This window comes from Homo sapiens, chromosome 7, assembly GCF_000001405.40.
Source record: "Homo sapiens chromosome 7, GRCh38.p14 Primary Assembly".
Lineage (NCBI taxonomy): Eukaryota > Metazoa > Chordata > Mammalia > Primates > Hominidae > Homo > Homo sapiens.
The window spans coordinates 22,643,482-22,666,318 of record NC_000007.14 but is presented as its reverse complement, the minus strand read 5'-3'; the positions used below and the strand labels follow the sequence as shown (position 1 = coordinate 22,666,318).

Sequence of the window (22,837 nt, the reverse complement as noted above, 5' to 3'; positions counted from 1 at the left end):
GTGAGTTCATTTCATCTCACCATAAATCTGTGACATGGGTACTATAATTATTCCCATTTTACACATGTGGAAACTGAGGCACAGAGAGGTAAAGACACTTGATTAAGATCTCACAGTGGGTTTAGTATCTGAGATCTACCACCACAAACTGAGTTTTTAACCTATGTGACTCATTCACCACCACCACCACGACACCAAACCAAACTGACTTTTAACCAGTGTGATTCGTTTCAATGAAGCCTTTTGAGTACAAAGGGAAGGCGAGCATCAGTATGGCATTGCGCAAAATATTCTGAAAACTCTGGGGCTCAAAAAAATGACTTTTCTTTCGCAATTAATTTTCCAAACAAGTTACACTTCGGGAATAAGCAATCCACACACAACAGTACAACACTCACAACTACTGAAGAGTGTAAAACTGTCAGTCCCCCTCCACCCTGTCCCCAGACGCGCCGGGCCACACTTGCTGTTCAGTTTCTGGTGTGGAAAAGCCATTTGGAGAGCAGGAGAAAGAAACGACGCGGGCAGGGGGGCGAAGGGGGGCGGTTTGAGAGAGAGCGGGAGGTCGGGTGTCCTCGGAGTTTCCTCAGGCGAGGACCTGGGCGCGTCTGGGCCACCGGGGGTAGGGGTGCCGAGGGCGGGAAGCGCTCCACCGAGGTCCCGGCGAGGATCCAGGCGTATCTGGGCGGCCACAAGCTCGCCGGCCCCCAGGCAGAGGGAAGGGCGGCGAGGAGCGTGGGGCAGCGCCTGGGGGAGAGGAGCTTGGCCGGAGGGCGGGGGATTCTGAGGTAGCCTTGGCGACTTTCGAGACTACCCAGGCCGAGCACACCCAGCCCCCTCAGACCCAGGCATTTCTGCGTCCTCTGGTTTGGAGGGAACCCAGGGGGCTGAGGTGAAGCAAGCCAGGACTGTTTCTCTGACTCTTCTGGAAGACGACCCGCTGCTCGGGCCGCCTCATCACTGCGGGCCACGAGGTGGGTAAAGCTCCTTCCTTAGCTCACCTCGGACCACCGGGCCTGGTGGCCACTTCCAGGTTTCCCGGGGGTGGGGGGCGGAGGGATCCCTGGAGGCTGCAGCGCCCGGAGGAGGCGGGGAGGTGGGCGAGCGGTAGGCGTCAGGCAGTGCTTCACAGGCTGTAGGCGCCCAAGGAGCCAACCAGAGAAGAACAAAATGGCAGCCATGACGCCACACCTGGCGGCCGCACACAAACACACACGGGGCAGACGTTTGCTGATGTTTGCACAGGGCATTCTCTTGTTCGTCCTGATTCTTTGTTGATGGTGCTGTCTTTGCCCGGATTGGCTACTTTTTTCCCCTTTTGCTGTCCAGTTTCCTGTTTATCCTTTAAGACTTGATCAGATAACTCCTTCCCTGGGCCCCCACTTCCCCCTCAACTCCTGCCCCTCTGTCTTTCCGTGACTGGTGTAAAATGACCTGCTAGGGAGTCAGCCTAGGGCCAGGAACTTCTTATGTTTCGGGGTGGTTTTGCTCAACTTTGTCCTTCCAGTGCCTGGCTTTCAATCACTACATTGAGGTGGTGTAGAGTTCCTGTGGGATGCTCCGAACTACACCGGGGGTACCACTTGTCCATGTGAAAGATCCCTCCATGACAGTTTTGGTCGTCTAATGATCTGCTTTATTTTTATTTTTTAAAATTGCTAGTGTTCTCTGTTTTGTTGCAATTTTAGTATACGGGATGCTGAAGCGAGCACATGATCTACCTTTTGGAAGCTTGGGAGACCTAGTGAAATAATGGTAGAAATGGACCTATGAAAATCTGCCTTTTGCTTGAGAGTAGGGCTAAAATGTCCACTACACTCGGTAATTTTGACTTGAGTGAGCATATCTGGAACAGGGTGTACTGGAAACTGGAAAATATCCTTTTTTTTTTTTTTTTTTTTTTTTTGAAACGGAGTCTTGCTCTGTCACCCAGGCTAGAGTGCAATGGCACGATCTCGGCACACTGCAAGCTCTGCCTCTCAGGTTCACGCCATTCTCCTGCCTCGGCCTCCCAGGTAGCTGGCACTGCAGGCGTGCCCCACCACGCCCGGCTAATTTTTTTTTTGTATTTTTAGTAGAGATGGAGTTTCACCGTGCTGGCCATGCTGGTCTCGAACCCCTGACCTTAAGTGATCCACCCGCCTCGGCCTCCCAAAATGCTGGGATTACAGACGTGATCCACCGTGCCCGTCCGATGACCTATATTAATACGTCACCCTAATCATTTAATTATCTTAGATATCCATTAAAGTACTGCCAAGTTTGGACGTTTAAAAGAAATACCCAGTTGAGAAATCTTATCTTGTTCCTGTGAAGGAAATGTGAAGTATGTTGAGATGGCCTGAAGAAATACTGCATATGATTGGTATTTCCTCCATCTTGCTATTTTTCTTTTTTCCCAGTGCCCTTCTTCATTCCAGACATGGTGCTTTGAACAATTTGACTTGGAGGCAAGATTGCGATATAGAAAATGGGCCACTGTGGAGGAGATAAGTAAATGCTTTGTCGCTTCTAAGTGACAGGGGAAACTGATCACGATTGGTATACTTCTGACATGTAACTTTCTATATCTTTAGAAGATCGTCAGGGAAATAGAAAAAAAAATCTGAAATCTCCAAGTAGGTTCTACTTTGTGTGGTTCCAACTAAATGAACTAAATTTGTGTTTAAAGATTGTAAGTCTACATGTAATGGTGAAAGCTGAAGGTTTTACACTGCACAGAAATAGTGATTTCCCCCCGTGGAGGGCAAGAAGACCGGAATAGGAGGGGTGGGTGGGGGAATCAATGTGTAGGCCAAATATTTGAAATTTCAGTGCAATCTTCTTAGTCATCACTTTCATTTCTGTCTTCTAGGGAAATCTGACACAGCTAGAAAGCAATGGAAAACACTAAGAGTTGCATCAGATGTTGAAGAGGAACTGATATTATGGGATAAAAAATGATTCTTTAAGGGAGATAACTGGTCATTTAAAGGTAGCAGCCTTTTTGGGAAAAGCTAACAAGTGTTCCCGAGGCCAGCCTGTCTCTTGTTAGCAACATTGGCCCTGTGTTAGAAGGAAGAGTGGATGTGTTTTGATGCTATTCCTTTTCCTCTCAGCATAAATTTGCAAGCATGTACTGTAAATGAATTTTCATGTCTTTTCAGGATGTTTCCCTATAGAGCAGTTTCTAGATTGACTCTGTGGAACAGTCTACAATAGATTTAATATGGTTAGGATTTTGCCTAATTCTGATTGGTGAGTGGTTTTCTTTTATTCATTCTTAATTCTGCATCTAATATTAGCTTACAGTGTTACTGTCACTGTGTGTGACCCAGGGAGAGAAAGGAAGTAAAAGATGTGACCTCAGAGAGCTCAGAGGGGAGAAACAACACAATAATGATAACTCACATTCATATAGAACTTTAAAATTTAAAGGTTACTTTTTACTGCGTTACCTCATTCGTCCTCTCTGCAAGCACATTGGGTAGGCTTTACTATTGCCATTTTACAAGTGAAAACAGTGAAGCTTGGAGAAGTTAAGGAACTTCCCCCAGATCACATTCCTGTAAGTGGCAGTGTCTGAACTTAGTATTCTGACTCTAAAAGGGCATGAGGTTCCATTCAAAGCTAGTGAGTACTGTACAAGAACATGCTAATGAGGCTTTGTGAATAGTCAGAGTGAAATGGGGCTCTTCAGGGATGGTATCTTGGGGAAGCACACAGTGTATGCAGATTATTGAAGAGAGTCAAAGGAGATCCTGCTGTGGGGAGAAGGCTGGAAAGTGCCATGGGAAGAGAACAAGGACAGAAATGAGGTTGACATGTGGGGCAGAGGAAGGAGGCAGACCTTCATAAACAGAGGAACCATGATTGGGAGTAATGGGGGCTAAGTGTAGGAGACACTGGGGGCTGTGTATTTAAGGGGTTGGGGAACAGTAACACCTGGAATTTTCTTTCTATTACCTCAAGAAACCCACAGTGGAGGGGCTGTGAGTGCTCCTAAGAACATGTTCTGCACTGGTGCCTCAATGGGTAGAAAAGGGGGTTGCCAACTGAGTTATATATAGAACTTGTGCAAGGGAAGTTCTTATGCAAAATGACTAAACACACTCCATTGCTCTGCCTGGTTACTTATAAATATTGTTTATGTGCAGAAGTTGATGGGAATCCAGACATTGTCTAAGAGATGGCTCAGAGAATAAAATAACAAAAAGTTGTTGTGAAAGACAAAGGGTTTCTAGGTTACCTGCAGCAGTTGATGACAGTCTGTCCTTCTGTCACAGTAGAGACAGTTTAAGCCACATTCCCAACAAGCATTCCGTATATCTGGCACTAACACATTGGAACTTGGGGGAGACTATGTGACGTAGCTTTACTCTAGGGAGGGACAGACAATCTGAGGGTGGAGAGGGAAGTGAGACCCCATACAAACCTGGGTGATCTCTACAGTTATGTAACTGTCCAGCCACAAATCACTTATTAAACAACTGGATTCAGAAGACCAAGATCTGCATTTGGGTCACTCCAGTTATCTTGAGATCTGGGACCCAGGTGGCTGGGGTGGCAGCTGATCATGTCAGGAGGACTCCTCTGCACAACATCACAAGCACAGGAGAGAATGCTAAACTTGATTGGGAGCTCACAGAAGACCCCTGGAACCCAGAGCAATAAGGTGAGGAGGCTTAAAGAGCCTGGAGAGAGGAGCTGGGTTGCAGAAGTTCTCTCTTACCTTCCTTTGAAATTTCCAGGTAGGTCCCAGGGAACACATGATGAAAAGAAACATCTGACTAGTTAGTGCTCAGCTGGCTGCACCTAGAGCGTCTCATCCAGGGAAATATTTGCCTAATTCTAGCATAGGGATTACAGTTTGCTGATCCAGGTTGGTTAAGAGCATAGACTCTAAAATCAGGGAGTTTGCAAGTTTACTGAAGCTCTTGGGGCTTGAATTTCCACTGTAAAATAGGGATAATAGCAGTTCTGATCTTGTGGAGAGGATCAAATGAGACAATGCATGCATTGCAGGTTGGGTTCCTTGGGACACAGATTATGAGATGGAGATTTGCATGCAGGAACGTTACTGAGGAGTCCTTTTGAGATCGGTACTTTTGGGAAAGTGTAGATAGCATTACTGGGCACAGGGAGAAGGAGAATTCTGATGCAGTTGTAAGAAAACTTCACTAATCCCATCAGTGGCTGTGTAGCTGCAATAACCCTTCAAGGTTATTTTGAATTGAGGTTGGTCTTATAGCCCTACATCAGTTAATCATTGGATATCAGATGTCCCTGGGATGGGGATGTGATCTTGGGCAAAGAAACTGTTCAGCAAAGGGCAATGCCTGAAGAGCAAGAGCTGATAGCTGTTAGCCACCAACATTCCCTGCAGGTGGGGAAATGAGTGCTTGAGTCCTGAAGGGGGCGATAAACCTGGGTGATACACTGCAGGTTCACCGCAGTCCACTCTTTGCACCTCAGAGTCACTTGCTTCCTATCATAAGTTCTGACAGCAGCTCTTCTAGATTCTGGTGGTCTTCTTTTCCTGGGGAAACATACAAGAGGAAGGTGAATGGAATGACCTAGTGCTCTCACCATAGCCGCTGCTCTGGTGGCTACAAGTGATGCTCATTGTCTTCCTCCTTTACTACCTATTCTAGTTTCCCCGTCCCATCTGGTCCAAGTGGTTTACCTGGCAGGTATAAAACTAGGCTGTGACAGCTGTATTTACCTATTTTCCATTAAGAGACACCCAAGCAGTTTACCTGGGTGCCAAACATAGTTTTCCCTGCTCCCAAAGCAGCCCTCTCACTTCCTGGGGATCAGAATCAATTACTCATGCCAGGAGGCTGACTCTTTTTCTTGTCTACTCTTCTCTTGGTATGAGGAATGTGAAGCAACTGGGTGGCAGCCACACTTTGTCATTTAATGGGAAACTTATTGTGTCCTCTGGTGAAAGCAAGCAACCAACAATGGTGCAAGCCACTGAATCTTTGTAGAGTATATCTCCCATCATCTGAAGGGCATGTGACTTATTAAGGCCCCCAGCATACTTGCTACTTCTTTCTCCCTGGGTCCCAGTAACATAATGTCATAAGTAGTATGGACTGATAGGATGTTTTGCAGGATAGCAGGTGACCCAGCTTTCTTTTGACTATATTTTGATGGAGGGTGAGGAGTTAACACAGCCCAGGGGCAAGACTGTAAGACAATGTATACTACTGTCTGTCCCAAGTGAAGGAGAACTGTTTACGATCTATCTTTCTGATAGAGACGGAAAAGAATGCATTTGTCAGATCCATGGCTGCAAACTAGGTACTAGAGGCAACACTAATCTGCTGTAGTCAAGATATCATATCTGGCAAAGCATTTGCGGTTGTGGATAGTGCTTAGTTGAGTTTGCTGGTCCACGGTCATCTTCCAGGATCCACATGGCTTTGGTAAAGGTCAGACTCGTGAATTAAGTAGGAATGTGAAGGGGATCACCACCCTGCATCCTTAGATCTGTTGTTCCCCTCGGGATATGATACTGTTTTTGATTTATTATACTATCATGGCTGGGTGGGAAAGGCAATTTCAGTGGCTTCTACTTAGCTTTCCCACTGTGATATGTGGAGGCTCTGCCAACAACCAAGTATGTTGATTCTAGTTATGAATACAGGAACAGGAAAAATTTCTAAGTGAGTCCAGGGAACCAGTGTATCCACTGTGAGCCAGAGTTGAGCCAGAACTCCGTTTATTAGTTGGCCCCCTTAAGCCTCCACTCTAATGGTGGGGGTGGTTGTGGAGCATGATGTTACTTTGGATCCCTGGGTTTCAGTGCAAACTTGTGTTCTGTGTCCAGCCATTCTCAAAATGCTTGGGATTTCCCCCTTTCCAAGTGTACAGTTACTTGAGTAAAGGATCATAGATTCTTTTAGGGAAAGATTGAGATAATCATTACTATATATACTTACCATGGTGTTACAGGATCCTCCCTCCTAGAGAACTTGCCCCTCCTTTAGTCAGTAGATTCTGGGTCAGAACACTGGCTCAGATCCAGAAACTGGGCCAGGGATAATGACTTTTCATTGGGCTGCCCTTAGTCTCTTAATCACGAATCCTTGATTTTTTTGGGGGGGTGGGGGGAAGTGGGGGTCTATATATTGAACATTACTCTTAATGACTTGCCCTAGAAATCCTGTATTCTATTAACTGTCTCCATGGATTATGACAGTTGTGACCACCTTGCTTCTAGTGGTTAAAGGTGGCTGCCTGGGCTCTTTTTAGGATTCTTCCTGAAAAGGATTTTAGGATCCTTTTTAGGATCCACTATTGCTATCCATGAGTTCAGCTCTGTAATAACAACTACTACCATCAGCCTGGTTCTATGGCCACTGAGAATTCTACTGAGAATTTCAGTAGAGGATGTTTTCTACTGAAATTCTCAGTGACATTGGTGGCCCTCTCACCAGGGTATTCCTTGTCACTTTGATAATCAGAATATCTTTTCGCCCCTATCATGGAACAAAGCCATCTGGTGTATTTTCTCATCTTGTTTAGTCTGTCTGCTCTAGCATGCCTACTTTTCTGAGCCTTTTGATCTTTTCTTCCACTGTTTGCTGTGGCAGTTATGGCATTTCTTCTTTACTGTTTTCTCCAAACTTACCTGATCCATCCTACATGTGTCTTAGTGCTGTCTTCTGGGGCATTAAATCCTGTCCAAACATATTATTCTAGTTCCTGCTGGCATATGCTAGCTAAGTACTGCAGTTTATTTGGGAATATGATTTTTTTCTTTCCTTGGAAGACCCAGAACTTCCTTAATTGGTTATGTTGTGATTTAATTCTAGTTAGTGGTCTGATGGCCAAGATGGGAGGTAGGAGTAGATTCTGAGAGGATGTATTATTTTATCTATTGCTGTATAACAAATTACCCCCAAAATCTAGCAACTTAAAATAACAAAATTTATTATCTCAGGATTTCTGGCTCAATGTCTCCCATGGGATTTCAGTCAAAATGTTGGCTAGGGCTGTGGCCATTTGAAGGCTTGACTGGGGATGGAGGTCCTACTTCCAAGATGGTTCATAACATGGCTTTTGGCATGAAGTCTCAGTTACTCACTGGCTATTGGCAGCAACCCTCAGTTTGTTGACACATGGATCGTTCCGTCATGCTGTTTGAGTATACTCATAACATAGGAGGTAGCTTCCCCTAGAGTGGATAATCCGAAAATGGCAAGAAGGAAGCCACAATTCCTTTTGTGGCCTAGCTTCAGAAGTCACACTCTGTTGTTTCTGAAATATCCTATTGGTTACAAAAGTCATCTCTATTCAAAGTAGAAGAGGACTACATAAGGGTGGGACTGTCAGAAGGCAGGGACCATTGGGGCTATTTTAAAGACTGCCCAGCACAGGCAAGTGTTTTTTTAGAAGAGGGCTTACCTGTCTTCAGGTAAGAGGTAGTGATAGAATTTATTAGAAAGGAGTGAGCCAATTCTTTAGGCTCAGGAAGTTTGGGGGTGGGGTGGAGAATCTGGGGATTTGAGATTTATGAGTGTATCAACATAAATTTCCCCATTCCAAGTCTCAGTGTCTCACCCCTTCATAATTAGAGACCAGACTCTGATGTGGAATACCTTCTGGGTTGAGAATTCAATTTCCTCTGTGATTCTGCTATTTTTATAATGAAGTCCTGGGTCTGATACTCAGCGTTTTCTGCCCTCTGGCTGCAGGATATGAGAGTTTCTCTATGTGTTTCCAATAAGGCCTCTGGTAGTCACATTTAATTTTAAATAGTGATTGATCACACTCAGTCTTTCACTGTTTTTACTCAATACATCTCTCTCCCTGACAACAGCCATCAAATTCCATAGCCCTTATAATTATTATCCAACCCATAGCTCAACGACTTAATACATTGCATCTGACAGTGCATTCCCTTCTACTGTTTCCCACCCTAGTTCATCCTAGTGCAAATTTAAAAAAATTCACTGTGGTTACAAATCAGTGTATCTCAGTGCTTCATCTTATCACTAGGACTGAGTTCCTCATTGTAGCCCATTTTAATGTTGCTTCTTTAGACCATTCCTGCAACAACTTTTGCTAGACATACTCACTAAGAAATGGGCTCTGAGATGGAGATAAGCATGCTGAGAGGTAACTGGGGACTGCTTTTGTGAGTGAGGAAAATAAGATGGGTCAGAAGGAGATGAACTGCAGTGCAGTTACATGAAAGCTCTGAGCCAGTACTATGGGCTACTCTGAGTATGGGATGACATCTCAGAGTTTACCCAGGTTGATGCAAAAGTGCTGGAACTTCATACTTCTACCCTCAACAGTTATTGGATAAGGGCTGCCCCCAGGAAGGGGATGAACCTGGGCAAGGCAATTATCTTCTGCTGAAAGAAATTCCCTGTGAGGGACTCAGCTGACAGTGCTCAGCCTCACACTCCCAACACTGGGAAATGAGTACTTTGATTCTGAATGTTGTGGTAGATCTGGGTGGCACATTGCAGCATTGGGGCTGACACTAGGGGGAAGCAAGAGGGGATCCTAGGGTGTGACATTTAAGGAGGCATCCACTCTCAGGTGCCAACATGCACATGAACAACCCTGAGAGCAAGTACCTTTTTAAATTTTGCACCTCACTTGCCTCACCCTGCACAGTATCCCTTCTAGTGTGTAAGGCACTTAACCCAGGGCCTGGCATATGGTGAGTGCTCAGTAATTGTTGTTATTGTTTCATTATTGCTTTTATTATTGCTATACAGTTAGGCACAGTTGAGTTTCCCACATAGCTGGAACAGGACAGCTGGCAGTGTGAAAGCAGCTTTTTAATCCTGGTTATATCTTTGATAAGATAGTTATCTTCGGGCTGGGTGCGGTGGCTCACGCCTGTAATCCCAGCACTTTGGGAGGCCAAGGCGGGTGGATCACGAGGTCAGGAGTTCAAGACCATAGTGAAACCCCATCTCTACTAAAAACACAAAAAATTATTCGGGTGTAGTCGTGTGTGCCTGTAATCCCAGCTACTAGGGAGGCTAAGACAGGAGAATCGGGTAAACTGGGGAGGTGGAGGTTGCAGTGAGCTGAGATTGCGCTATTGCACTCCAGCCTGGGCGACAGTGCGAGACTCTGTCTCCAAAAAAAAAAAAAAAAAAAAAAAAAAAAAAGGCATCTTCATTTTAGTGCCAGAAATGTCTTCCTAGAAGTGGGAGCTGTGGAAGACGCCATTGGTTGCCTACTTATAGCCCTTACTAATAGAACTCCCAAAATTTTGGGTATCAGATAGATGCTTTAGGCGAGACTGGCCCCTCCTCGTCCCTGGTGAATTCTAATTGGCCTAAGCCAAACATAGTGGTCCTGTTCCTCTTGCCAATGATTGGTTTAAGCATGGGCATGTGACAGAATTCTGGCCAATGAGAGAAGGGGAAGTCTGTTGGAGACTTCTGGGAAATATTTTCCTCATTGATTAAAAACAAATTTTTCGGAGGAATCATCCTTTCTACTCTTGGCATTTAGGACTATGGCAGCCATCCTGGGGTCATGAGGGGAGCCAGATAACAGGTTTAACTAATACAGTGAGGATGGCAGAAGGGAAAGAAGAAAAGATTCTGGTCCTCAATGATATTTTTCAGCTTCTAAATCCTAGACCACCATACCTTCACCTTTTGTTATTTGATAAAATGACTTATTACTTAAGCTAGTTTAGGTTGTTTTCTGTTATCTGCAGCCAAAAGCACCCTATTGTAACTGACACAATATGCTGATTGATAGGGCTGTTAAAGCATAGTGTGTGAGGTGATGACTTGCCAATATCATTTATTACCTACAGTCAACATATAATTTGCATAAATTAGCAGGTATATTGTATGATAGCTTTTTCAACACATCAGAATTGGTCCAGAACATGATCCACATTCACTTCAGGCCTCAACTTTCTAGAGCCACAATGAAACTTGTATTTTAACATTCAGCCCTTAGTTGAATAATCCCATGTTTGTTCATTCTTTAGAAAATAAACCCGAAGAAGGAACCATAATGGGAAAATTGAAGACTGACTAGAGGCTTCTCGTTCCTGACTCTGGTCTGGATGTATTTGTACTAGAAGATGAGTATTTGCACTATAAGAATAGTAGCCCCAGTGGAGAAGGTGGGACAAAGTGAGTTTCAGGAGAAGAAGGCACTAAAATGATAAAACAAACAAATGAACAATCAGATATGGAATATCTAACAGACTTAAAAGGTGAAGGAATGTGAGTTTGAGAAGATTCCAGCATTTTAGCCTTGAGTGACTATTCCCTCTAAACTTCTATGAAATGCTGCTGTTCTGCCTACACATAACTCTGACAGTGAGGTTCCAGCCGGGCCCCTGGCTCAGGCAGATAGTCCTGGATTTGGTGCTGCTGCTGGCTGATGCTCATGTTTGTGGCTGCATCTCTTTGTTCCCAGGTGGACAACTATTGGTTTATCTGCCCAGGTCACAAGTCAACAAATGTTCTATTTGAAGACCTCTCCTCTATATGGTCCACAGGCATGGACTCCTAGCAGTCAGGCATTGCTGACAGATCTTGGTTACTGCTGCTTGGTGCAGGGACAGACACCTGACAAATCATTTCCTGTATTGGGAACTTGGAGTTGTGACTGTGAGAGACGGTTCTTCTCCATAGTCTTGGCTGTAAGGTGTAAGCTTGGGAGCTGTAGGGTGGCCATCTTCTGCCTGCCATGAAAATGGATAAGTAAAAAAGGCCAGTCTTCAGAGAGAGAAGAAGGACAGTTCTCCCCTTGCTTCTAGTCTGGGCATCTTCTTTGAGAATCTGTGTGCTTATCATGTTTGTTCCTCATGTGGTTACTTTGTCACATCAGAGCTTGTATTGATATAACTGTCTTGTACATGTATTGCTTTTCTTCTCAATTATATTTACTCCAAGGGCTTTTGTTTCTGTGAGTTCAGACTTGATCTTATTTACAGTTAGCAGCTTATTAGAAACATCATCCAGAATGTTACAAATACTGTTTGTTGCATGAACACACAAAGACAGCACTAGAGCAGAGGACAGAGGAGCTGTGACACCTGGGGTTTGATAAATAATGTCATTATATCAATGGGGGCCTGATTGTTCCCACATTCACAGGTTTTATGTTTCCCTGTGCATGTGTTTGTCTTCTCTGCCTTTGTTCTGTTGCAGTCTTTGTGTGTGTCCTCACTCTTGCACTTCCTCTGGAAGCTCTGTTGCCAAGAAACAAGGAAAGGCCAAGGCTCTTGATTTGAAATTCAGTGTTAATAAGAGAAGGCAGAAGGAAAGTTGGCAGACATCAGGTGTGCTTTGGGTTTGCTTAATTCCATGCCAGAAATCATTTTTTGACAACAGGAAGATCAAGGAAATTGGGAAAGGTGCAACAATTGCTAGGGTAGTAAAGTTATTCTGTGCCAGGAATTTTGCAATAAAGAGAACAGAATTGGTACTCCATCCTTTGCTTTGACACAAAACCAGAGTCAGTTGTGCATCATGGTTTTGATTTAAGCAAAGGCTTTGGATAGCAATGGAGAATGATTTGAGAGCTTTGGAAATTGACACATGCACTTGATACCAGGATGATGGGTGTTCGGATTTTTATTTTTATCATGTTATTACGATATTTAAACCTAAAATTATTTTGATGTAGAAATTGACTATCATATCCACATGTATCAGTGGTATCCAACTAAATACCTTAATTTGCCATTATTTCTAAAATTTTTAAAGTGTTAAAACAAGTTCTATTTGTATTATTTTTCTGGTAGTATAAACTTCTCAGTGCCTATCATTTTGTTTTACACAGTGTATGTTGAGTAAATACTTGCATGAATGAATACCTAAATGGTGATTTAGAAAAGTGCTTCTCAAATTTTAATGTGTGTTAGAATCACCTGATCATCTTGTTAAAATGCAGATTCTGATTCTTTCAGTAGGTCTGGGTGAGGCCTGAGAGTCTGCATTTTCAATAAGCATCTAGATAGTGCCTGCTGTTTATGGACTACACTTTGAATAACAAGGACTTAGAAGATGAAGAACAAAGAGCTTCATATAGATCAGCAACACTCTTTGGTGTTCTTCCTCCTGTGTTCAAGTCAGTGGTAAGATGAACTGAGCAGTGAATGCAGTTGGAGATCTGGAGACCTAGGTTCTAGTCCCAATTGTGTCACTAAATTATTCCCATGACTTTATGTAGATTACATATCCTTTTTGGACCTCAGTTTCCAGTCCTGCCAAATAAGGGACTAAGGCTGGATCATGTTTCAAGCTGTCCTGAAGAGACCTCTAACTCTGCAGAGAAGCCTCAGGACCCCACCCCCTCACCCCAAGAAAAGTGTGAGGCTAGTGTGAGGAGGAAGAGGAGCAGAGAAGCCAATGGAGAAGGAACTATTCTTTAGAAAGGTAAGAGGACAACCAGGAACATGTCCTGTCACTAAGAAGATGGCTTGAAGAATGATGCAATGGGCTGGGCACTGTGGCTCATGCCTGTAATCCCAGCACTTTGGGAGGTCGAGATGGGTAGATCACCTGAGGTCAGGAGTTCAAGACCAGCCTGACCAATATGATGAAGCACTGTTTCTACTAAAAATACAAAAATTAGCTGGGCATGGTGGCATGAGCCTGTAATCCCAGCTACTCAGGAGGCTGAGACAGGAGAATCACTTGAACCCGGGAGAAGGAGGTTGTGGTGAGCCGAGATCACGCCATTGCACTCCAGCCTGGGCAACAAGAGCGAAACTCCATCTCAAAAAAAAAAAAAAAAAAAAGAATGAGGCAATGGTGGGTTGTGTCAAATACTTTCATTCAGTTGTCATTCAACACAGTATTTAAGGCCATTATGTTTCCCACTCCTGGAATGTGACACACTTGTTCTTCTGAAGAAGTTTGAAAATTAATTCTAGACCCGACCCCTCACTAAGTGGTAGCTAGAATACTTGAGGTCCATCCCTTAGGTGTATTAGTGTGCATATTCTCTGAATGTCTCCAGGAGGCAGGTAAATGGTGGGGGGATAGGATGAGGCATGGAATACACATGTGATCTGGATGGGTCACTTCATTACTCTGCAATGTCCCCATAACCACCATCACTACTAACAGGATTCTTGGATGAGGCGAGGACTTAGACCTCTCACAGGTCTGATGTTCTAGGATTTGACTATTGTTATGGCAAAGGAAGAGGAAAAGGGAAATGCCAGCTAAATGAGTCAGCAGTTATAGCAAAACTATCCCACTGTTCGTGGGGTCTGATCTACTCACCCTTTTTCCCGCTTATTTCCCCAGTGGGTTCCCAAGGTTCCAGTGGCTCCTTGAGAACAGGGAGATAACTGACTCATCCAGCTGCCACTCTTGGGCAGAGCTCAAGAGGAGCTAATGGCTAAAGTCTGACCAATGGGGAGGTATACATGCTGAGATGACTTTTATGTCCTTTCATTATTTCCAGGAAAGAAAGAGGGGGAAGAAGAAAGGAACATTTTTCCAGTGACACATTTTTAGTTTGAAACCAGCTGTACATGAAAATCACCTGTAGTACTTTAAGAAAATACTGACGTCCAAGGCCCACCCCCAGAGGTTCTGACTTCATTGGCATGGGGTGGGAATCAGGCAGTGTTTGTTTTTCAAGTTTCCCAGGTGATTCTAATGTGCAACCAGAAACGAGTTATTTTAGTGCTTAGGATCATGATTTCCCTTCTCTTTTCAGTCTGACTGTGGGCAATTTGACCAGAGTCCTGAACTGCTTAGTAAGAAGCCTGTGGTGGATATGGATTATTTAAAGTTCATCTTGATCTGAACAGAACTGTTAGGATAACTTTCTCTTCAAAACTGATGTGTTTTGGCTCTTGTAATCTTTCAGCCTTTGTAGCCTGAGATGGCTCTGGTGGGCAACTCCAAGCCAGAACAATGCTTCTTAGGTAGCAGGGGCTAGGAAATTGGTGTTCCTAACTTCAGCGTACATGGAATGTTTTAGCTAAGCATAAGCTCCCTGGATGACAGGGATTGTTTCTGTCTCAATCTGTCAGACAATGGGCAAATGTGGAGGAATCTTGCTTCTGTATTTTTTACATGGAAGTGGAATTCAGAGCCAGATTTCATAGATCTAAGATTAGGCTCCACAGTGGAGCTTAAGCATTGCGTATAATGACCTCATTCAATTGGCAGTGTTTACTCACTCTCTGCTACCTCATTTCTCCTCAAGGTTTCAACGGTGACCTGCCAACAGCTCCCAAATCTACAGGTTTCACCCAATTTTTGACTCATGACCTGTTGACAACCTCCGCCTGGATATGTCATGGGTTTCCTCAAAACCCAACATTTACAAAACTGAACATCCTCAAAACATCTTCCCTTTCTCACCATTCCTCTCAGTTAACAGCATCTCCATATACTCCATCACTTGGGTGGAACATATCAGAGTCCACTTAGCTTTCTTCACAAGCCTTTAATGGAGGAAATATTTATTGAGTATCTACCATGTGCCACCCACTGTGCCAACCACTGTCCATATGATGGTGAATAACCAAGACAAGGGCTTGCTCTCATGGAGCTTGCAGTCTTGTGGAGAAAAAGATAATAGAAAGTAAAGACATACTTTACTTTCAGGTAGTGAGTAGTGCTGAAAATAAAGCAGTGGGAGAGAGAGTGATAGTGGAAGCTACTTTAGAAAATGTAGCCAGAGAGGGCCTCTCAGAGAGACCACTTGAATGATGAGAAGGGCCGTGAAAAGAAGGGGGATGATAAAGGAAACTGCAAGTACCTGAGCCCTGAGACAGTTAAAAAAAACATCTGAGAGACCAGTGTCTGGAGTTTGGGCTGAGCAGAGATGAACTTGGCCAAACCACGCTGGACTTGTACAATGTGGTAAAAATGATGGATTTAACTGCACTTTATCTTAATATATCTCTTTTATCAACACCTTCCTTTCCACGCTCCCAGCCGCATTGTTTATCAAGAACCTGTTACATTTCACTTGACTATTTACCTTCTCAACTTTTCCAACTCCTCTTCCTCAGGCACCTTTGCTGGCTCTTCTCTTTCTCTCTTTACCCGCTATCTCTCAGCAGGCCTCAGACTTCTCTCCTGTCTCTCCCAAGAGTGCTACCCTAGACCAGCCTGCCTCAGATTCTGTTTCGGCCTAGAAGGGCCAAACATCTGGTTTGTCATCTTCCTTGGGTTTTAGCACATTATCACACACACATTAGGTCTTAGCACATTATTAGAACTCGCAAATCCCTTATTTGATAGAAGAACTGATTTCCTTTTTAACCCTAATTCCTCTCCCCTACCCCCATTTGAATGTGTATCTTTTCATTTGGATGTGTTCTTGTGGAATGTCCATTTTATTTGTATGCACTTATTTTAAATTCTGTAAATGATATTATAGTATCCCTTCTAGCCTCTTTCCTACTTTTTCATTAAGCACTGTGGTTTTAAGATCTATCCATGAGGCTATGTATGTTTCTAATCTGTTGCTGCTAACAAATGATAGTATTTCATGGTGTACACATTAATCAAGGTAGCCCAGGCTATGCCGAAGTAAAAACCCCCAAATCATAGTGGCTTAATAGACAAATTTTTTTTTTTTTTTTTTTTTTTTTTAGACGGAGTCTTGCTCTGTCACCCAGGATAGATGGCAGTGGTGCAATCTTTGCTCACTGCAACGTCCACCTCCTGGGTTCAAGCAATTCTCCTGCCTCGGCCTCCTTAGTAGCTGAGACTACAGGTATGCACCACTGTGCCCAGCTAAGTTTTATATTTTAGTTGAGATGGGGTTTCATCATGTTGGCCAGGCTGGTTTTGAATTCCTGACCTCAGCTGATCTGCCCTCCTTGGCCTCCCAAAGTGCTGGGATTACGGGCATGAGCCACCGTGCCCAGCCCTGTTGATTGTTTATTCATGTAGAATCCTCTGTAAGTCTGGCTGTTCCCTCCATAGGTCATGGAAGCTCTATTTTTTTGTTTGTTTCTTTGTTTTTGAGACAGGGTCTTGCTCTGTCACCCAGATTGGAGCGCAGTGGTGTGATCTCAGCTCACTGCAACCTCCACCTCTCAAGTTCAAGTGATCCACCCACCTCAGCTGGGACTATAGGCATGAGCCATCACCCCCAGCTAATTTTTGTATTTTAGGTAGAGATAGGGTTTCTTCACATTGCCCAGGCTGGTTTTGAACTCCAGGGCTCAAGCAATCTGCCCACCTAGGCCTCCCAAAGTGCTAGCATTACAGGTGTGAGCCACCATGCCTGGCCAGGGAAGCTCTTTTTTAAGCCACAACTCAGAGATCCCTTCTACTTCCATTTCATAGCTATGTCACTGGGAAATTATGACTTTCAGGGTTGCTAAAGGAGAGAAGAAAAAAATATAGGGAATCCATATCCATTCTTACATTCTTCAGACTTGAAGTACACATATCACTGCTATTCACAGCACATCGACCAAAACTGTTGAATGGCCCCGACCAACTGTGGGAGGGGCTAGGAAATGTGAGAAGTGTGTTGGCAGCCAGTGAGCCATAAATGTCTCTGATACAGTGAGTATCCACCATATTTTATCTACATACTGTCCAAGTGGTGGACATACAACCCCCAGCTGACACAAACAATGCTGCAGTGAGTATCTTTGGCCTAGAATCTCATGAACCTAAGTGAGAATCTTTTTGGAAAGTTGTAGTAGGTTAAATGGTTCTCAGAAAGATAGGTTCACATCCCAACCCCTAGAACCTGTGAATGTGACCTTACTGGGAGAAAGCATCTTTGAAAATGTAATTAAGGATCTTGAAAAGAGATCACCCTGGGTTATCCAGGTAGGTCCCAAATCTAATGACAAATGTCCTTCTAAGAGACAGAAGAGAAAACGAAAAAAGAAGGCAGAGGCAGAAAGTGGAGTGGTGCAGTCATAGTCAAGGAGCACCTTGAGCTGCCAGAAGCCAGAAGAGATAAGGAATAATTCTCCCATAGGGCCTTCAGAGGGAATGCAAATTTTATTTCAGATTTCTGGCCTCCAGAACTGTGAGAGAATGAATTTCTATTTTTTAAGACACCAATTTTGTGGCACTTTATTAAGGTAGCCCTAGGAAATGAATACATAGTTTGGTGACTAGAAATGAGGTGCTACTGTAACAAATACCTAAAACTGTGGAAGTGACTGTGGAATTAGGTAATGTGCAATTACCCAAAGCTGGAAGAATTTTGAGGCAGAGGATAGAAAACTTCTGGATTCTGGTAAGGGCTCAGAAGGAAGTAGGGTACATGGTAGACAAAGCTTCTATTGTCTAAGAGAATACAAATATTGCTGTAAACAGAATGTTGCTAGAAGGAAATGAAGAATGTGTTACTGAAAGCTGAAGGAAAGGTCATCTTTTATATACGGGCAGAAAAGTTGGCTGAATCATGTTTTCTTTGTTGTATGGAAAGCCTAATTTGTAAGCAATAGCTTGAATATTTCTGAGTAGAAATAAAAGCAGACTTCCGAGAAAAGTATTAAAGATGCAGGCTGGTTTTTCCTTGCTGCCTATAGTCAAATAAATACAAGCAAAAAGATAAGATAAGAAAGGAACTGTTAGATAAAAATGAACAAGCACTTTTATTTTGGAAGTTATCAGTCTACCCAGATTGCAAAGGATGCTAAAGTTAGGAAATTCTGTTAGGAAGCGTGTTCTAGAGAGAAGATCAAGGATGTGGCTGGACAACCTTTTGCTGAAGAGATAAAGCATGACTCATGGATACACTCAACCACCTCACCAGAAGCCAAAAATAGAAATGAGTTACTCATGGGAAATCTGTGGAGAACCCTTTTGTCTAATGGCATGAATCCCTGGACCCCCACAGGAGAACCACAAGGGTTTTGAGAATGTTGTATCTGCAGACTGCCAGCTTGAACTTTTAAAAGGATAGAAGCAGGATGAAATGTGAGAACACTATCAGACTTCCAAACTTCTACAGACAGAAAGTGGGCCAGTAGAGCTAGTCAGCTGTAAATATTTGCTACCATTTAAGAAAATGAAAGAATGATCCTGAGGCCACTGTAGGTCCAAAGGATAGACCACTGTGGACTCAGAGGATAGGGCTACCACAAACCCAAAAGGCAGAACGGCCATGGGCCCCAAGGGTGTGTTGAGTGACAGAGGATTATTCTCAAGGCTTGAGACCTAATGAAATTTGCCCTGCTCAGTTTTGACTCCTTTGGGATTGGTGACCTCTTTATTCCTTCCATTTAATATTTTTTGGAATGGAAATGTCTATCCTATGCCTAGCCCACCTTTGTATTTTAGATACTTGTATTTAGATAACTTGTTTCCTAGTTTCATAGGTCCAGAGATGGAGAGGAATTTTGCCCAGGATAGACCATACAGATTTCAGCAACACCTGATTTAGATGATGCAATTTGTAACTTTTTGAGTTGGTGATGTTTAGATTAGATTTGGAACTTAAAGTTGATGCTGGAATGGGTTAAAACTTTTGGAAATGTTGGCCTGGGGCCATGCTGCTGCTGTGCCCTGCCTTCTGTGGCCCAAGCCACCACTGCACTTCATCCTCTCACCAGAGCCCATGCCACTGGGGAACACCCCAGAGTTTTCTGGGGCCCATCTCTGCTGCTGCTCTGAATACTCATACCCCAGAACCCAGTGCTGCTGCAACTGCCTGCAGGCCATACCAGACCTGGCACCAAGAAGGATCCCCTCGGTTAGGACTTCTTTCCCTAGAGGAAAAAGAGCTAACAGGGAGATCCCAGAAGTCTTTGCCGCCAAGGATCCCAACAGCCTTTGCTGCTGCTGCCATAACTTCAGATATCTGTAGCCTTGGCTGTCTAGGACTCCTAGAGTTGTCCCCAGTGCTGACCTCAATGATAGAGCTGCATGAAGAGTACACCACAGCACACTCTCTGAAACCAGAGCTGCTGTACCCCACCCAACTGGCGTTCCCACACCTTCCTGGAGGTGAAAGTATTTCCCCCACTGAGGCTAATCTGTAATGTCTGGAATAGGTGACTGCTCCCTCAAGTGTGCAGATATCAATGCAAAGCCACAGGAAATACAAAAAGTCAAGGAAACATGACACTACCAAAGGAGCACAATAATTTTCTTATAACTGACCCCAAATAAATGGAGGTCTATGAATTGCTTGAAAATGAATTCAAAATAATTATTTTAAAAAAGGTCAGTGGGATACAAGAGAACACAGGTAGATAACTCCACAAAATCAGGAACATAATGTGTGAACAAAACTAGAAATTCAACAAAGAGATAGAAATCATGAAAAGAACCAAAAAGAAATCTTGGAGCTAAAGAATACAATGAATGAAATGAAAAATGCAGTAGAGGACTTCAACAGCAAAGTCAATCAAGCTGAAGAAAGAATCTGTGAACTTAAAGACAAGCCTTTTGAAATTATCTAGTTGGTGGAGAAAAAAGAAAGAAAAAGTAAAAAAAAAAAAAAAAGCTATGGGACTTATAAGACACCATTAAGTGCCACAATATTTGCATTACAGGGGCCTCAGAAATAGAAGAGAGAGAAAAGGGAAGAAAGCTTATTTAAGAAATAAGGCTGAAAACTTATTAAACCTTGGGAGATACAGACATTCAGATTAATGAAGCTCAAAAGTTCCCATTCTCAACCCAAGTAAGTCATGACAGAGACATATATATATATAATCAAATTGTCAGAAGTCAAAAAAAAAAAAAGAAATTCAAAAGCAGCAAGACAAAAGTGACATATCAGACACAAGAGAATCTTCATAAGGCTGTCAGCAGATTTCTCAGCAGAAACTTTACAGACTAAGAAAGAATGGGATAATATATTCAAAAGGCTGAAAGAAAAAACTGTCAATCAACAATACTTTCTCCAGAAAAGCTGACCTTCAGAAATGAAGGAGAGATAAAGACTTTCCCAGATAAACAAAAGCTGAGGGAGTTTATCACCACTAGACCTGTCTTACAAGAAATGCTAAATGGAGTTCTTCAAGCTGCAATAAAAGGACACAGTTACTAAGATGAAAATATATGAAAGCATAAAATTTGCATGTAAAGGTAAATATTATAGTATAATATTATACTATAATATTTACAGTATTTATAGTATTATAGTATAATATTTGATATTTTATGTTTGATAAATATAGCAAATTCATGATATTCTCATATGTAATGGTATGTAAGTCACTTTTAACTCTATAAAGGTTAAAAGATAAAAGTACTAAAAGTATAACTACACTATTTCATTAGTGGATACATAATATAAAAGATGTAAATTGTGACTAAAAAAAACCCATAAAATGCGGGGTCAGAGAGAGGCAAAAGTATAGTATTTGTATGCAACTGAAGTGAAGCTGTTATCAGCTTAAAACAGACTGCTATAAGATGTTTTATGTATGCCTCATGGTAACCATGAAGCAAAAATCTATAGTGTATACAAAATGATGAAGAGAACAGAATCAAACATACCACAGCAAAAAAAAAAAAAAAAAAAAAAAAAAAAAAAAAAAAAAAAAAAACCCCACAAAGGAAGACTGCAAGAGAGGACAAAACGTACAAGAAAACTACTGCATAGTCAGAAACAATTAACAAAATGGCAGGCTGGCACAGTGGCTCATGTCTATAATCCCAGCACTTTGGATGGCTGAGGCAGGAGGATCACTTGAGGCCAGGAGTTCGAGACTACCCTGAGCAACATAGCAAGACTCTGTCTCTACAAAAAATTTTAAAGAATTAGCTAGGCATGGGAGTACACACCTGTAGCCCTTGCTACTCTGGAGGCTGAGGTGGGAGGATCACTTGAGCCCAGGAGTTTCAGGAGTTCAAGGTTACAGTGAGCTATGATAGTGTGATTGTGCCACTGCACTTCAGCCTCAGTGACAGAGCAAGACTCTGTCTTTAAAAAATAAAATAAAATAAAACAATAAGTCTTTACTATCAAAAGTGACTTTAAATGGATTAAATTCTCCCATTAAAAAATAGAATGGTTGAATGAATTAAAAAGAAGACAATTATATGCTTCCTATGAGAGATTCACTTTAGCTTCGAGGATACACATAGGCTGAAAGCAGAGGGTGGAAAGAGATATTTCGTGAAAATGGTAACCAGAAGAGAGCAGGAGTGGTTATACTTATAACAGAAAAAATAGACTTTAAGTAAAAAACTGTTACAATAAAAGAAAGAAGATAATTGTTTAATGATAAAAGAATCACTTCATCAAGAAGATATAGCAATAGTAAAGATTTATTCACCCAACATTGGAGCAACTAAATATATAAAACAAACATTAACAGAACTGATAATATTAACATAAACTGATAATACCAATACACTGTCATTAGTACAACATTAACTGGTAATATTGGTATAAATCAAATATTAACAGAACTGGTAAGGAGAAATAGTACAATAATAGTAGAGGACTTTAATACCCAACTGTCAACAATGGATAGATTGTCCAGATGGAAAATCAATACGGAAACATTAGGTTTAAACAATCCTATAAACCAAATGGAATCAACAGACATATACAGCACATTCCATCCAACAGTAGCAGAATATACATTCTTCTCAAGTGTGCATGGAACATTCTCCAGGGTGGATCATATATTATGTCATAAAACAAGTCTTAATAAATTCAAGAATATTGAAATCATATCAAGTATCCTTTCCAACCATGATGGTATAAAACTAGAAGTAAATAATAGGAAAACTGGAAAACTCACAAATATGTGGAAATTAAACAATATACTTTTGAGCAATCAATGGGTCAAAAGAGAAACCAAAGGGAAATTAAAAACATTGAGACAAATTAAAATGGAAACTCAACATACCTAAACTTATTGGATGCTGCAAAAGTAGTTCTGAGGAAGACGCTTGTAACAATAAACACCTATTTTAGGAAA

General features: G+C 42.4%; 1 long non-coding RNA gene across 1 annotated transcript, besides 3 other annotated features; it reads left to right on the top strand.

Annotated features, from left to right (window-relative positions):
* Positions 123–729: an enhancer, noted in NCBI's record as "H3K27ac-H3K4me1 hESC enhancer chr7:22705209-22705815 (GRCh37/hg19 assembly coordinates)". NCBI's record gives its function as "activates a minimal SCP1, AML or CMV promoter by ChIP-STARR-seq in primed H9 embryonic stem cells {active_cell/tissue: H9 hESC(primed)}" and the evidence as "EXISTENCE:reporter gene assay evidence [ECO:0000049][PMID:30033119]".
* Positions 730–1,338: an enhancer, noted in NCBI's record as "H3K27ac-H3K4me1 hESC enhancer chr7:22704600-22705208 (GRCh37/hg19 assembly coordinates)". NCBI's record gives its function as "activates a minimal SCP1, AML or CMV promoter by ChIP-STARR-seq in primed H9 embryonic stem cells {active_cell/tissue: H9 hESC(primed)}" and the evidence as "EXISTENCE:reporter gene assay evidence [ECO:0000049][PMID:30033119]".
* On the top strand, positions 786–16,359 carry LOC401312 (uncharacterized). Its single transcript, NR_122075.1, has 5 exons — positions 786–974; positions 2,403–3,237; positions 12,905–13,072; positions 13,168–13,373; positions 15,166–16,359. It is a non-coding gene; the product is annotated as an uncharacterized LOC401312 (long non-coding RNA).
* Positions 1,339–1,946: an enhancer, noted in NCBI's record as "H3K27ac-H3K4me1 hESC enhancer chr7:22703992-22704599 (GRCh37/hg19 assembly coordinates)". NCBI's record gives its function as "activates a minimal SCP1, AML or CMV promoter by ChIP-STARR-seq in primed H9 embryonic stem cells {active_cell/tissue: H9 hESC(primed)}" and the evidence as "EXISTENCE:reporter gene assay evidence [ECO:0000049][PMID:30033119]".
* Positions 16,360–22,837: the final 6,478 nt, after the last annotated feature.